The 15,210-nt window shown below is 39.8% G+C and overlaps 1 protein-coding gene across 3 annotated transcripts in view, besides 1 other annotated feature; it reads right to left on the bottom strand.

Moving 5' to 3' along the window:
• MAP2K5 (mitogen-activated protein kinase kinase 5) overlaps nucleotides 1-15,210 on the bottom strand; it is a 264,412-nt gene that overhangs the window by 53,486 nt on the left and 195,716 nt on the right. For all 3 annotated transcript variants that reach the window (NM_145160.3, NM_002757.4, NM_001206804.2), the window contains 2 exons: nucleotides 5,372-5,398; nucleotides 5,028-5,060 (listed from right to left, as the gene is read on the bottom strand). In NM_145160.3, coding sequence (NP_660143.1) covers nucleotides 5,028-5,060; nucleotides 5,372-5,398 — 60 coding nt within the window. The remainder of the gene's footprint in view (nucleotides 1-5,027; nucleotides 5,061-5,371; nucleotides 5,399-15,210) is intronic.
• Nucleotides 2,447-2,948: an enhancer, noted in NCBI's record as "H3K27ac hESC enhancer chr15:68043019-68043520 (GRCh37/hg19 assembly coordinates)". NCBI's record gives its function as "activates a minimal SCP1, AML or CMV promoter by ChIP-STARR-seq in primed H9 embryonic stem cells {active_cell/tissue: H9 hESC(primed)}" and the evidence as "EXISTENCE:reporter gene assay evidence [ECO:0000049][PMID:30033119]".

Genomic DNA, 15,210 nt, shown 5'->3' with positions numbered 1-15,210 from the left:
GGTTTTGATTTGCATTTCCTTAATTAATTGTTGAGCATATTTTCATGTGCTTATTGACCATTTGTTTATCTTCTTCAGAGAAATGTCTATTTAAATCCTCTCCCCATTTTTAAATTGGCTATTTGTCTTTTTATTTATCATTGAGTTGTAAGAGCTCTTTATATATTCTGAATACCAGGACTTTATCAGATATATGATTTGCAAATATTTTCTCCCATTCTGTGGGTTGTCTTTTCACTGTCTTGATAGTGTCCTTTGACACACAAAAGTTTTTGATTTTGATAAAGCCCTTCTTTTGTTTTTGTTTGCTTGTGCTCTTGGTGTCATAGCTAAGAAACCATTGCTAACCTAAGGTCATGGAGATTTACATCTATGTTTCCTTTTGAGAATTTTGTAGTTTTTACTCTTACATTTAAGTCTTTGATCCATTTTTTGAGTTAATTTTTGTGTATGATGAAAGGTAGGGGTCCAAATTTATTCACATACATATGGATATCCAGTGGTCCCAGCACCATTTGTTGAAAAGACTATTCTTTCGCCACAGAATGGTCTTGGCATCCTCATCAGAAAACAACTGACTATGCATATATAAGTTTATTTCTGGACTTTGAATTCTATTCCGTATGTCTATCCTATACCACTACCATACTATCTTGATCAGTGTAATTTTGTAGTAAGTTTTGAAATCAGAAAGTATAAATCTTGCAACATTGTTTTCTTTTTTTTTTTTTCAATGATTGTTTTGGCTATTCTGAGTCCCTTGTATTTCCATGGGAATTTTAGGATTAGTTTATCCATTTCTGCAAAAAAGCCTACTGGGATTTTAACATGATTACATTGAATCTGTAGATCAATTTTGAGAGTATTTCCATCGTAACAATATTAAGCCTCCCACTTCATGAACACAAAATGTCTTTCCATTTCTTTCTTTCTTTTTCTTTTTTTTTTTTTGAGAGGGTGTCTTGCTCTGTCACCCAGGCTGGAGTGCAGTGCTCTTATCTTGGCTCACTGCAACCTCCACCTCCTGGGTTCAAGTGATTCTCCTGCCTCAGCCTCCCGAATAGTGGGGATTACAGGTGCCTGCCAGCCGGCTCGGCTCATTTTTGTATTTTTAGTAGAGATGGGGTTTCACCATGTTGGTTAGGCTGGCCTCGAACCCCTGACCTTGTGATCCACCCGCTTTGGCCTCCCAAAGTGCTGGAATTACAGGCGTGAGCCACCGTGCCCAGCCTGTCTTCAGTCTTTGTACTCCTGATAGTGACCTTAGCAAAACTAAAAAGTACCATATGAAATCAGCACTTTGGGAGGCCAAGGTAGGCGGATCACTTGAGGTCAGGAGTTCGAGAACAGCCTGGCCAACATGGTGAAACCCTGTCTCTACTAATAATACAAAAAATTGGCCAGGTGTGGTGGCGTGTGCCTGTAGTCCCAGCTACTCGGGAGGCTGGGACAGGAGAATCGCTTGAACCCAGAAGGCAGAGGTTGCCGTGAGCGGAGGTTGTGCCACTCCACTCCAGCCTGGGCAACAAGAGCAAAACTCCATCTCAAAAACAAAACAAAACAAACAAACAAACAAACAAAAAACACCGAAGACAGACGGTCAGGTTGTTGGGACAAAAGGTAGCCACCAACAAGAATGAGGAGTGCCCATAGAGAACAGAGGCAATCACAAGAGGGCACAGGAAAAGCACTATGCAGAGCAGTACAGCCATGTAAGGCATGTTAGCCTGGGGGCAAAGGGCTCTATACACTTCAAGAGGCCCGAGAATATCAATGTCAGCGCCAAACACTCTGGCAAAATGGTTGGTAAAATTCAGTGAAAGAATAAGGTAAACCCCACACAATTTTACAGCCCTGGAGGGCATCAATACATCAAAGTTTACGTTCAGTACCATGTTCAGAACAAGGGACTAAGTCATTGAGAAAAGGTTAAATGATATTCACCACACTCCGTCAACAGGCTGCCAAGAACAAATAGATGTTAGAAACATTTCTTTCTAAAAATGCAAATTTCTCATAGCTGTCAGAGCTTACAGTCATAAATTTCAGTTATCTAGACAATAGGGGCCGACTTATTCCCCAAAGATATCAGATGGCTAAGGCTTCAGGTACACATAGACACACATCACTTATAAAGAACCAAAGCACTTTACAACGCAGGTATTCAGGGACTTAGGGAGGACCTGATTACATAAGGACCTTAAGGTAAGAAGTTCTGTTGAGAAGCAACTCTGAGGCACCAGATGATGTCTTCAAGCTGTCACTTATACCTGAGCTAGCCAGCGACAATTCAGAGAAATGCCACCCACCAAAATTTACTTGGACCACCAAGATTTCTGATTGGAGCTCAATTCTCCTGTTACTTTGGCCACCCTCCCAGGTCCTGATCTGTGGTCTGAGTTTCATGGTCATGGTTCTTATTCCTATTTAGTTTTTGGTGTCTTCTGTTTGGACATCTGGTAGCTAACTCTGGCTTTGTTCCATGATTCCACCTCCTGACTCCCAGAGTGGCTCTAACATTCATCTTTGGCCATTCCAGGACTGGCTCTTGCCCACCTTAGTGGTGTTTTACTACATCTTCACTCTTTGCCAGGCCATAACAGGTTAAGCTGAATCCACATAATAAGAAAATATGTTACACTGGGCTTTGCGATAGCTATTTTGTATGTGACGCCAAATATACCCATCTTGTCTGAACTTCCCTCAGGGGAAGTAATTTTTGATCTGACTTTTCTCTAACAGGAAATAGTATATACTAGCAACAGATACCCACTTCACAACGGGGTAAATCCCACTCCCAAGCAGTAAAACGGCTCAAATCCCAACTGGGCATATTCATTCACAAATAAAAGGTCTAAAAGTCAGATGCAAATGAAGATAGCTAGCTAATTGCCCTGTGGGAACTAAAGGGGAAGACTTAGCCCTGGCAAGCAGTTAGGGAAGTTTGAGAAGTGGTTTTCAAACTTATAATGTGCAGAGAGTTACCCGAGAAACTAGTAGATTCTAGGCACGATCCCTAGAAAGTCTAATTCAGCGATCTGGGCTCAGGAATTTGCATTACAACAAGAGCCTTAGGTAATTCTGATGCAATCAGTCCTTGGTCCACCCTATGAGGAACACTGCATCACAGCAATGAGAACTCTGACAGACACATAGGACAAGTGCAGTAAGTACAGGACCCCACCAATCCTTCCTTTCCGAGATGCTATGATTCATCTTGTCTAAGGCAGGTCATCTGGCCAATCCTTTCCTAATACTTTTATTGCAGAATATCAGCTCAGTTCCAAGATCAACCTGGTTTTAGCAAAGGCAATGTTCATTTCCCAAGTTTCCACAAGGAAGATGGTTTTAGAGTAAACAGGAATATATGTCTAAGTTACATTTTTCTCTTGACTAAGAAAGAAATGCTATGAAGAAAAATATATCATTTAAGTTACACATTATTGTTCTTCATCAATCTTCATCCCTTAAATAGAACATCTCCCCATGGTAATTTCAAAAGTCTCATGATTTTGCCCAAATTAAACAAGTAAGATATTTTAAATTGAACAGCAATAACTGTTACTTTAAATAAGGAATGAAAATATCTATTTGATGCAGAAAACATTCAAATGAGAAACACACATAGTATTGGTGAGGAATGCCTTTACCTGGATGTTCTGATGCCTAGGAGCCTGGCAGACCAACGGTAGAGCCCAGGAAACACAGAAGGCTGTGCACGAAACTGGGTAGGCAAGTTTCCCCAGACACTTCCTCAAGCAAAACTGGAGGGGGACCTCAGGAAAACCAGTTAAATTGGGAGGATTCTGATGGGGATAGTAGGCTTTTGGAATCTAAGATAATAGAGGATATTGATGAGCTATTAGATCCAGGAGGTCTGTCTGATATTTGAGATAATGGAGCCTCCATTTGTTTCAGGACGATGCCTTCATTTTTACATCAACATGGATTATGGCTTGCAGGGGATATATGGACTGACTGATGCAACCATTAAGGATGTTAGAGCCCCACTCTTACTATTATTGTGATATGTGTGTGTGTGTTTATTTTTTTCCTAGGAGGATCTTTATTTTTTCTCCCAAATTTCATAACTGGTTATGCAGATGTTTAATTGAGAGGAATAATTATGAATTACAATTTTTTTCTTTCAAACTTTCCTATCTGAATCATTTACTGCCTTCCCTCTCTAATTACAACTGTTTTAAATATTATAAAATTAAAGTTTAAAAAATAAACATTGCTAGTAGGCAAACCCAAGCCCCAAAAATCTCAGTTTTTAAAGAAAATGTTAATGTTTCTTGAAAGCCTTGTGTATTATAAGATTGATGGTTTACAGAAAAGGAATTTAAAGTCAGAATAAGAAGTAGACAAAGTCGATTGAGAGAGAAAGGCAGGTAGATTAGCACCATGAAGGCAAAGGAACAGTGGAATTCAATGGATAAGGATGATCAGAAGTAAGCTCAATTAAAATGTGAGAATACAGGTTTCCAGCTACTAGAATACACAAGATGTTAGGGACATATTCTGAGAAAAATGCCTAATTAGGAAATTAACGCTGAACTGTTGACCTAGAGTTTTTGAGCCCTTTTATCACTCTGATATGCTTTGGGTAAATAACTCAAGGCAGGCAAATTTCATCCAGCTTATGCTTGCTCTTCAACTCTGACCCTTGCCTACTGAATGACTTTAAATAACTGTTGCAGAAAAAAATGATATCATTTTAATTTCCAGTTCCATCCCCATCTGGCCAGGGAGAGGGTCAATTAATATTATTGTGTTTTGTCTTTAGGGCATCTGATGCCCCTGAGGACCAGCCTGCGGGATAGTCTGTTTTTGCAGGGTTTCTTGGCCAGAATCAGAAGAGTGGGATTCAGGACAAGGCCAGTTCACGTAACATAGCTCAGAGCCATACAACACAACTTGCTCCAAGGATGTTGGGCATTGTGCTTCATTAGGAAACAAAATATAAGCTTTCCACACCATTAGGAATGACTTTAGGAGTGAAAGCACATAAGACGATGCCTCACCTCATCAACAATGCACTGCAGAAGCTGGAGAGGCTGCAATGGAAAAGAAGAGAGGAAAAAGTATTAGCCTCTATGCAATATCTTTACAGTGGAGTGGAAAGAAAAAATCATTAATGCAATAAAATATAGCAAGATTAATCAACAACAGCAAACTCTTATAAAAACATTGATGCTCAGGAGGTTCTATTATTTCTAATGGTACCTAATCTAATACAGGCAGTTAAAGGTTTGCATTTTCTTCAAAATGCAATTTGCTAAGTTTAAAACAAGGCATTCAAGCATGCAAAGGAAGCAGCCATCAGGAAAAAGAAAAGTGAATTTTTTTCTGAACTCATAAAGCTTACCATTAAAGATCCCTGGTTTTTCTGAATCTGAAAAAAGGCAATATGTAATTAGCATGTCATAATCAAAATGACTCACTTGGACACATTATGATCACTGAGAGAAAATTATTGCATTGCTGGTGGCAATTTGTGGGCATGTGTTAACACAATTTACATAATGAAAATACACAAATGTTAATAGCTCGCTTCTCATTTATAGGCGAAAGTCAGCAGAATGTTAATTTCACACAACACTTTTTAGTACCCTCCAGGTTGTATTAGAATAGGGAGAAAAACCATAATCCATTTCAAAAGGCTGTTTACGATTCAGATATAAATAATGTTTTATATTGCTAGATTGTGAACACTGGGCTTAATGTTGCAATCATTGCTAATGTTACGAAGCTCACTCTTTTTAAATTAAAAACCGATTTATTTAAAATTGAAATTAAATCATAGTCAGAAATTAGAATTTTGGATTCCTGCCAGTGTCTGCTCACAATCCCCTATTTTGTGAGGAAAACTTTAATTATGTAGTTGAAGTATTTGCACCTAACTTAGGAGTGGGGTAACAACTCCACCTTTTCCAAAGTTCCTTCTGCCTGTTTCCAGGGCAGCAATGCTCTCTGGGAAAATCAAATTCATGGAAGTTTCACACTGATTTTTAGGGAATAAATGCAGAGTCCAGTAAGAGCGCATTTCTGATCAACATTCTGAAGGCAGGCTGCTCACACATTTAACACTGATAAACTGCATTTCTTACAAAGCTACTAAAACGTGACATAAAAATTAATAAAACATCCACTTAGTCATTAAAGTACTAAACACTTCAGTGCCTCCCCATCCAGGAAAAATAAAGCTTACAGTTATTATAAACTCAATGAAAATGAAACTCCAGGTACTACATTTTCTAACAGAGAACTTTTCAGGAACCAAATACTGATGGGTCAACTGTTTTCTGAGATAACTGGGCTCCAACCAGCCGGTAAAATACAGGGAAACTAGTAATAATCCCTTATATGTTTTTAAAGGTGTTTTAAAAAATTCTTTCCCATATACAAACTCATTTGATCTGTACAACCACCCTGAGTTTGGCAGGGATGATCATCTTTATTCTATGATGGGAAAGCTGGGCCTATCAGAGGACAGTGTCCGGGCCTGAGGCCTCAGCGCCAGGGTGTGGTGGTGCTGGGGCTCCTCCAGAGCTCCTTTCCTTCCAGCATCTGTATTACACTTGCCTATGATCATAGAGTTATTTGAAAACAACTGTATTTGTATACATTTATACTTGGTATGGTATTGTTGATAAATTATCCATTTTGACATGTTGGTTCCTCTCACCTAGACTGTGAGTTTCTCAAGAGCTGCAGCTATGTTTATGCATTTCTTTTGCATCCATGTGGCTGATCAGCACACCCTTCTTCCTACTGCCTGAGTGTTTTAAAAAGTGTTTTCCCATATATTTGTCAAATGAACACGGCGCCCACTCATTGCTCTTATTGGCTTTTCATCACTTCCTCCCCAATCACTACTTTCAGAAACCTCTGTCCCAGGTTGACTGGCTTAGTCTATGTTGATAGTCCCTGCTTGATGTTGTCCTGAATTACTGCTTCTTCTGGTTTCTCCAGTCCATGAGTATTTCCAGACAAGATTCTGCAGGTAAAGATTTACATTACAAGGGAAGGCGGAGCTGTAACCACCACCCGGAAGTGGTTAAGAATTTCAGTAACAAGCCAAACTACCTTTAAAAAAATACTGAAAAGCCTGGATAACCTCTCCTATGACATGAGATATCTATGGAGTTTGCTTTTATTTTTTTTTCAAGCACACACTGATACTCCCCCCACCCCTACATTCCTAGTAAGATATATCTGCTTCAACAACGGAGTTATTTGTAATGAATAAAGAATCAGAAATCCATTTCTGACATCAAAGAGAATGTGTTTCACAAATTTCCAAGAGTCAGGGGGATGACAACATTCTCTGAGGAGAACATGCAGCAAACATTCTAAGTGAGAGGTTTTGAAATGAATTCAGAAATGGATTATGAAACACTGTCCCCAGAAACATATGAGTTGTGTGAATCAGATTAACTGAGGGGAGGAAACTTCCTCATGAACTGAGGTCTTAAAGTCTCTAGTTTGCCCTATTTTGCAGGTTAAAAGCTTAGTCTAAGTCAACTTAAAACTGTACTATTTATGCTTGCTCTTCATTAAAAGAAAGAGAAAAACAGCAATATCAAAGTCTTTTTTTATAATCTTATAACTATACTGTTTTGCCCAGGTTTTTAAAGAGAGACGTTATCAGGTTTTATTATACAGTTTTGATAGCAACATATTATATGAAATCATCTTCATAAATTTTGTATTAAGGTAACAGTGCCAGTACCTGAAATTGATTCAAAATGCTTAAGATACTCAATTACTTTTTAACAGTTACACAATGCAGTGACTTATATCTTCTATTTCACAAGAATTTGATGATGCAACATCATTGTAATTGATTCATTTTCTCAATTAAATAAAGCTACTGTGCTTTTCTTTATATGAATGCCACATAGACCATAGAGTTAGATGTATTATCTCCTTTTTCTGTCTCAGATATATTGCCATAAAGGCTGTATTATGTTCCTCTGTTAATTCCACCAGAAAATTTAATGCCACAGTCATATTTTTAAAATTCTGAACTGCCATGTACTCGGCTGTATTTATATTAGGCATATTTTTCACTGCTAAACTCTTTGTTGTTTACCTTTTTCAAGATCACATTACTGTATAGGCACAGCAACCATAAAACAGATCCAAACAGTCAACCTCCAGTCATTGCCTCTGCTTTTGCACACAGTTCATGAAAAAGTGAAGCCCCTAGTTTATAGCACATTAAAAGTGGAACCAAGGGTCCTCAATATAAAATGTTGGCTTTGTGAATGCCTATCTTTATTCTGGGTCTGCCTTCCAAATGCTTAGCTGTGAGAGCAGAGTTCAGAGGAACGCAATAATATTGTTAGGGCTGATGTACTGCCTGCACCTCACAACATATGAAATGCTGTTTATAACTAACTTGTCCAAGCCCTCATTCCTGCTTATACATTTTGCGTGTGTTGAGTGTTTTCTATGTCTAACTAGTACTTTGGGACAATGAGAGAACAGTAATTGTTCCAGTCACACACTTTGTTAATCAGTCTCTAGAACTAGTTGCATTTTGATAGATGAACCTCTTCCCTTTTCTGGGCATAGATTTTTTTTTTTCTTTCATTAGCTGTTAGATTCAAGATTTAAAACCACACTAACAGGGGATAGTTACGTCTCATTCTGATGTAAGGCAGACTCTTATGTGTTTAAATGGGGAAGAATGACTTCATAGAAGGCAGCCACAAGTACCAGTTAGGTCTTGGTATTATTATAGTAACATTTATCATATATTTCCTTACAAGGACCATCATTAGCAATTAGAAAATTCTTATAACATGACTTATGACTGTGAAAAATGATGCTAGAAAGGAAATTGCCAATGTAGAAGTTTGCTTGTGGGTCCTCAACTATTTAGCCAATGGCTCTGGTGATAAAAAGCAATTTTGGAAGTCTCACTTTATGCTTTGCTCTCTGTAGAGGAGCTTTTTACATAAGTGGTAAAACAGATCTTGCTACCAGCCCCTTTTACATTATATTCAGAGGCACAATCAGAAAACTAAAATGAATCTACCTATGTAACTTAGAGAAGACACCAGCTATAGCTTTCATTTTCTCTTTTACTCTCTGAAATTATGGCTTGCCCTGCAGCTCTTGTCTGGAAGATTTATGTGTGACCTAGGTCAGATCTTCCAATATCAGTTGACAAATTTTCTCTTTACATATTTACTGCTTTTCAAGCTTGTATTATTTTCTCTTAAATAGAAAGAAGAAATATAAAATTAAATCATATGGTTGGAATTTTTAAAGAATAGCATTTTCATTTGTTGTGCTACTGGCATCACATTCTAGCTTTCAATGTTGAGCTCTTTATTCTTTTTTTTAAAACTTCAAATTTTAGGAGCTGTGGCTATTTTGCAAGGACTCTCTTTTCAAATCAGATGCATTAAGCTATAACCCTGGCTAAATATAAACAGGGATTATGGGAAACTGAGACATTCATATTCTAAATGAAGAATTATGATCCAAAGTATTTATGAAAGGAAGGAACCCCAGAGATGATCTAGTTCAATCTACTCACTTTGCTTTAGGGAAGCTGAGGCTCAGAGGGGAGCAGCGCTCAAAGTCATAGATAGTGCCTGGCCTGACCCTGACGGCTGGGTTAGGAGACTGTCCACTGTGAGGAAAACGCATGAACTTTGGAGTAAGAAAGACCCCTGGGATTCTAGTCAGATGCCCATGGTCCCCAGAAGCCCCCTCCCTTCAGTGGGGCTTAGAGCTGTCATCTACAAAGTGAAGGAATGAGCTAGAGAAGTCCAAAGATTCCTTGAAGCCAGAGCTTCCCATTCAGGAGCCATGTTTATTTTTCCTACCCAAGGGTAGGTACCAGCAATCAATCTAATTTTATCTGGCACTGTGCTGGATATTAAAACTTAGGGACATACAACCTCCAATCCATTATAACTTGCAAAAACAAAGTGTCCATATCTCAGAAAGCCTTCAATGAGAAAAACAAAACCACTGCTCCATGATAAGCTTTATATACATTGCCTAGTACCACTAACTTAAAGAGTTCCCAAACAAATCACTTTTAAATAAAGGAAGAGAACAAAATTTACTCTGGCTAACTACAAATGGGACTTTTAGCAAACTGATATGTGAAGATACTAAATGCATTCAGAAACAAAATAAATGGATAATATATACTACTTCCAATAATTTCAGGTGAACACGTATAATTCACTTGTGCAATCCTATCTCCCCTGTTCATCAGCCTCTGTCCTTGCTCAAGTTCTTATCATGTCTGTGGGTCTATTAGTATATTTTCACAGGACCTAAAAAAGTCACAGGAAGATTTAGCAGGCAGCTACTCAGTAGGTTATAAGAAGGAACCAACGATTCTCGCATTCTAAGATCTACTCACTGGCACCTTCTCTCTGGCGCAAATCTCAGACTCCAGCTGGGGTGCTGTATTCAGGAGTGACCAGTTTTGAAAAGCAAAAACTACATATCCCTGAATTTAGCAAGCAGCTAGGTAGGACAGAAAGGCTTTAAGATGCCTACAGGAGGGCACAGCTCTGATGGGACCAGACAGAAAATCATCACAGCCATAAATTAGTTTACTTGGCCTCACTGCTTCCTGAGTATCAAGGACAATGCATTTTCACACAAAATACAACAGCTGGAGCATTGAGGTACAGCAAAACATTATTCATTTGCTGGGTCTGCCAGTCAGTGAGGAGGAAAAAAAAGGACCTGGCTGCCAGTTCATACTGTTTTATCCTTTGTGTATTTAAAATTGACATAGCTCATGTCCCACACCACATAGGTGTATAAGAGCCAAAGTAAATCTTCCTGTTGGTAATTGCACATTTTAATGTTTAGACTTGAATTTTGCAAGGAAAGCAGGGGCTTAGAATTGTAATTTAAAATGATTAATGTGAATTATAAAATCTTTTTCCTGATGGTATGAGGTCTGTCCACAGAGTCCATTAAGTACCTAAGTTTTGAAGATTTTAGACATTTGCCATATCAGTCTTTTCTCCTTTCTTTGTCCCAAAAGAAGGGTGGCCTTATTTTAGAATCCAGTTTAAGAATATTAATTGTGTGTGGAGACATGGGAAAGGGGCAGCTGGGGGAAGGAGGTGTTGCTTTTTCTGAGAACGGTCCTTTAGACTACTCTACTCTTTATGGTGAAATAAATCTGCTACAGCAACATTTTAATGTTTCAAAATGTCTGAGAGGGTTTTTCCGGAGCTTTCATTTAGTTTGCACCTCTCTTAGCTTAAATCCTCTACATGATGTTGGAAGTCACCTAGTACAATTCTTTGCCTAATGTAGAAATTCACTTTATAATATTCCAAACATATAGGTATTCTGTCTTTGCTACAAGACTTCTAATGATGAGATTCCAATGATTCTCTTTTGGGCAGATTAAACTGTTAACAAAGTTCTTTCTTGGCCGGGCGCAGTGGCTCACGCCTGCAATCCCAGCACTTTGGGAGGCTGAGGCGGGCGGATCACGAGGGCAGATCATGACCATCCTGGCTAACATGGTAAAACCCCATCTCTACTAAAGATACAAAAAATTAGCCGGGTGTGGTGGCAGACACCTGTAGTCCCAGCTACTCGGGAGGCTGAGGCAGGAGAATGGCATGAACCTGGGAGGCAGAGTTTGCAGTGAGCTGAGATCGTGCCACTGCACTCCAGCCTGAGCGACAGAGCAAGACTCCCTCTCAAAAAAAAAAAAAAAGTTCTTTCTTATTTTGAATCCAAGAAGTATGTCTTTCTGTAAGATGTGCCCATGATCTGGAGCTATGGCATATAAGTTTAATGACAGCTCTTCATATATTTGAAGATAGCAGTCATGTCTCCACAATGTTGTCTTTCTTGAATGAACATCCCTGTTTTCTTCCTTATGATCAGTTGGTATTTTGGTTGCCCTCTATCCTTCTCCCCTTTATTACTAAGGATACTCCAACAACACTCCCCCACCCCCAAGAAGCCCGTGTGTTCCATGGGAAGATGACTTCACCCCCAGCTCTAGGGTATGGTAGGTGGTTCAGACCTACATTAGTCAGCAACATCTAAATCCCCTGGGCACAGGGAGTTGAACTGGTCCAATGAAACTGCAGCCTAAGGCCTTTGGTTGCTTCTGAGGAAAAGAGACCTGCTGTTCCCCTCTCAGACAGGAAGTGGGTTGCTCCAGGAACCCCAATAACCATTCTTGGTCTGTGAAGGAAGAAGCCTACTAAGGAGAGAACCGAATATGAATTGCTGAGTCAAGTCCCAGCTAAAACCAGCAAGGAAGACTAGGCTTTACAGTCATGCAGTCCAGTTATTTCCCCTTGTGATTAGGGCTCCTTTGAGTTGAGTTTTCTGTTACCTGGACATGAAAGCTGCCTGAAGAACCCAGGCATGATTTCCTATTCTCCACCACCACAGTCACCTTTCTCTGAATTTGTTTCCATATGTGTATGTTCCTCATAAAGTATGACACCCACACCTGAACACAGACCTCGGATTGACGGGCTTAGATCACTATGTTTTGGACCTGATACACCAGACAGCCGAGACTCAAGGAGGCTAAAAGTGCATTCACTTTTTTTTTTTTTTTTTTTTTGAGACGGAGTCTCACTTTGTCACCCACACTGGAGGGCAGTGGCACGATCTCAGCTCACTGCAACCTCCACCTCCCCAGTTCAAGCAATTCTCCTACCTCAGCCTCCTGAGTACCTGAGATTACAGATGCATGCCACCATGTCTGGCTAATTTTTGTATTTTTAGTAGAGACGGGGTTTCGCCATGTTGGCCAGGCTGGTCTTGAACTCTTGGCCTCAAGCGATCTGCCTGTCTCAGCCTCCCAAAGTGCTGGGATTATAGGCATGAGCCACCACGCCAGGCCATGCATTCACATTTCTGATAGCCTTATCACACAGTTGGCTCAAATGAGAGAAGACCGAGAAGTATATAAATCTTACTGAAAGAAGTATATAAATCTTTTTTATATACTGAAAAAGAAATCTGAGACTGAAAAGGAAACACTTTTTTTTTTGTTGAGACAGGGTCTCACTCTATTGCTCAAGATGGGGTGCAGTGGTGCAATCATAGCTCACTGCAGCCTTGACCTCCCTGGACTCAAGTGATCCTCCCACCTCCGCCTCCTGAGTAGCTGGGACTACAGGTGTGTGCCCATGTGAAGACAAGTTGTCACATATCCTCAGAAGGTGTTATGCTCAGGTATTCATGCTGGCTGGATAGAGTGGGAGGATGGGACATGGAAGAAAAGAAAGGGGCCAAAACAATTGATTTAGAGCCTCAGGATTTCTGTTCTTGGTTCCCTCTGATTGCAAACATGTAAAAAGTAAACTTGGGCTACATAATTACTTTATCGATTTCATATATGTTTATTAAGTCCTTATGCTATGCCAGGCGCTATACTAGACTCTAGGACCCAAAAGATGGATAGAATACAATTGCTGGCCCACAGAAATGAGTGACTTATTAAAGGTTCCTGAAACCTAGTAGCAGGGCTAAGATTTAATTAAGCACAGGGCTTGGACTCTCCTCTAAAAGTCACTCAGTATTTGGACAAAATACAAGTCTCTGGAGTTTTGCTTTCTTCCCTCAGGGTTCTATAGATTTCTAAGACAGCTTCCCCCCATCCTTCCAACCCCTAAAGCTCCCTACCACATGGTAATGTTTCTAGGCATTGTAAGAAAGGTTGCTGCATTAGTTTTGGTTCCACATATCACTGAACATTTTTTTACCATGATATATTTGGATGTGGCCTACTGAGATTTTGAGATCAGTTGTATTGCAGCCAATACATGGTTCATATGGGATAAGGAGGGAAATAATCTTAAAATTGGCCAGGTGCAGTGGCTCATGCCTGTAATCCTAGCACTTTGGGTGGCCGAGGTGGGTGGATCACCTGAGGTCAGGAGTTTGAGATCAGCCTGCCCAACATGGCGAAACCCCATCTCTACTAAAAATACAAAAATTAGCCAGGTGTGGTGGCACATGCCTGCAATCCCAGCTACTAGGGCGGCTGAGGCAGGAGAATTGCTTCAACCCGGGAGGAGGAGGTTGCAGTGAGCTGAGATTGCACCACTGCACTCCAGCCTGGGCAACAGAGTGAGACTCCATCTCAAAAAAAAAAAAAAAAAAAAAAAAAAAAAAAAAAAATATATATATATATATATATATATATATATATATATATATAGTCACACACAATCTTGTGAATTAACATGTGTCTTACTGGCTTGACTGTAAATGAAATTCAAAATAGATTTAAACAAAATAAGTCATGGATCAAGAATGAACTGGATAAAGTTTGACTTACTTTATCTTTTTTTTTTTTTTTTTGAGACAGGGTCTCACTCTGTTGCCCAGGCTGGAATGCAGTGGCACGATCATGGCTCATTACAGACTGGACCTCCTGGGCACAAGTGATCCTCCCTCCTCAGCCTCCTGAATAGCTGGGACTATAGGCATATGCCACCACACCTAGCTGGTTTTTAAATTTTTTGTAGAGACGGGGTCTCCCTGTGTTGCCCAGGCTGGTCTCAAACTCCTGGGCTCACGTGAGTCTCCTGCCTTGGGCTCCCAAAGTGCTAGGATTACAGGTTTGAGCTAGCACACCTGGCTCCAATGTTTGATATTTGATTCAGAGTTTTACTTCACACCTCCCATATTTTGATATAGGTACAATCAGGTTTCAGTAAACTTCAAGGAAGTAATCGGAGGGAGATGGTGATGAGCAAGAGGGCTGAAGGTGTGGACAGGAGGAGGAAGCTGCTCATCTAAGGTGAAAGCAGACCATAGAAATATCCTGTCCAGCATTTTTCAGACTCTGTTTACGAAATAACTCTAGTTCAAATAAGGTATTACTTAGATGCATTTAAAAATTACCAGATAGAAGCAGAGCTGCTCGTGTGGTTGTGTGTACATGTGTATGTGGGTGGATCCCCATCTCCTCTATACACTGTCTACCCACAATTCTGTAAATTACTAACCTAGGGCATTTCCATCATTTTCCAGGTGAGGAGGCTGAAGTCCAAAAAGAAAGAAGGTCAAGCAACTAATAAGAAAAGCCAAGACCAGAACTCAGGTTAGCTCTGTGCGTATGTTTGGGTAGAAATCATATACTGTCAGTGACTTAATTTGTCACTTGTCGGGTGTGTCATTTGCTGCCTCCTATGCCCTCTACCCTGAATCACTGAGTGT

Source organism: Homo sapiens, chromosome 15 (assembly GCF_000001405.40).
Source record: "Homo sapiens chromosome 15, GRCh38.p14 Primary Assembly".
Classification (NCBI taxonomy): Eukaryota; Metazoa; Chordata; class Mammalia; order Primates; family Hominidae; genus Homo; species Homo sapiens.
The sequence above is the reverse complement of the archived record's forward strand: the minus strand, read 5'-3'. Positions and strand labels throughout refer to the sequence as shown.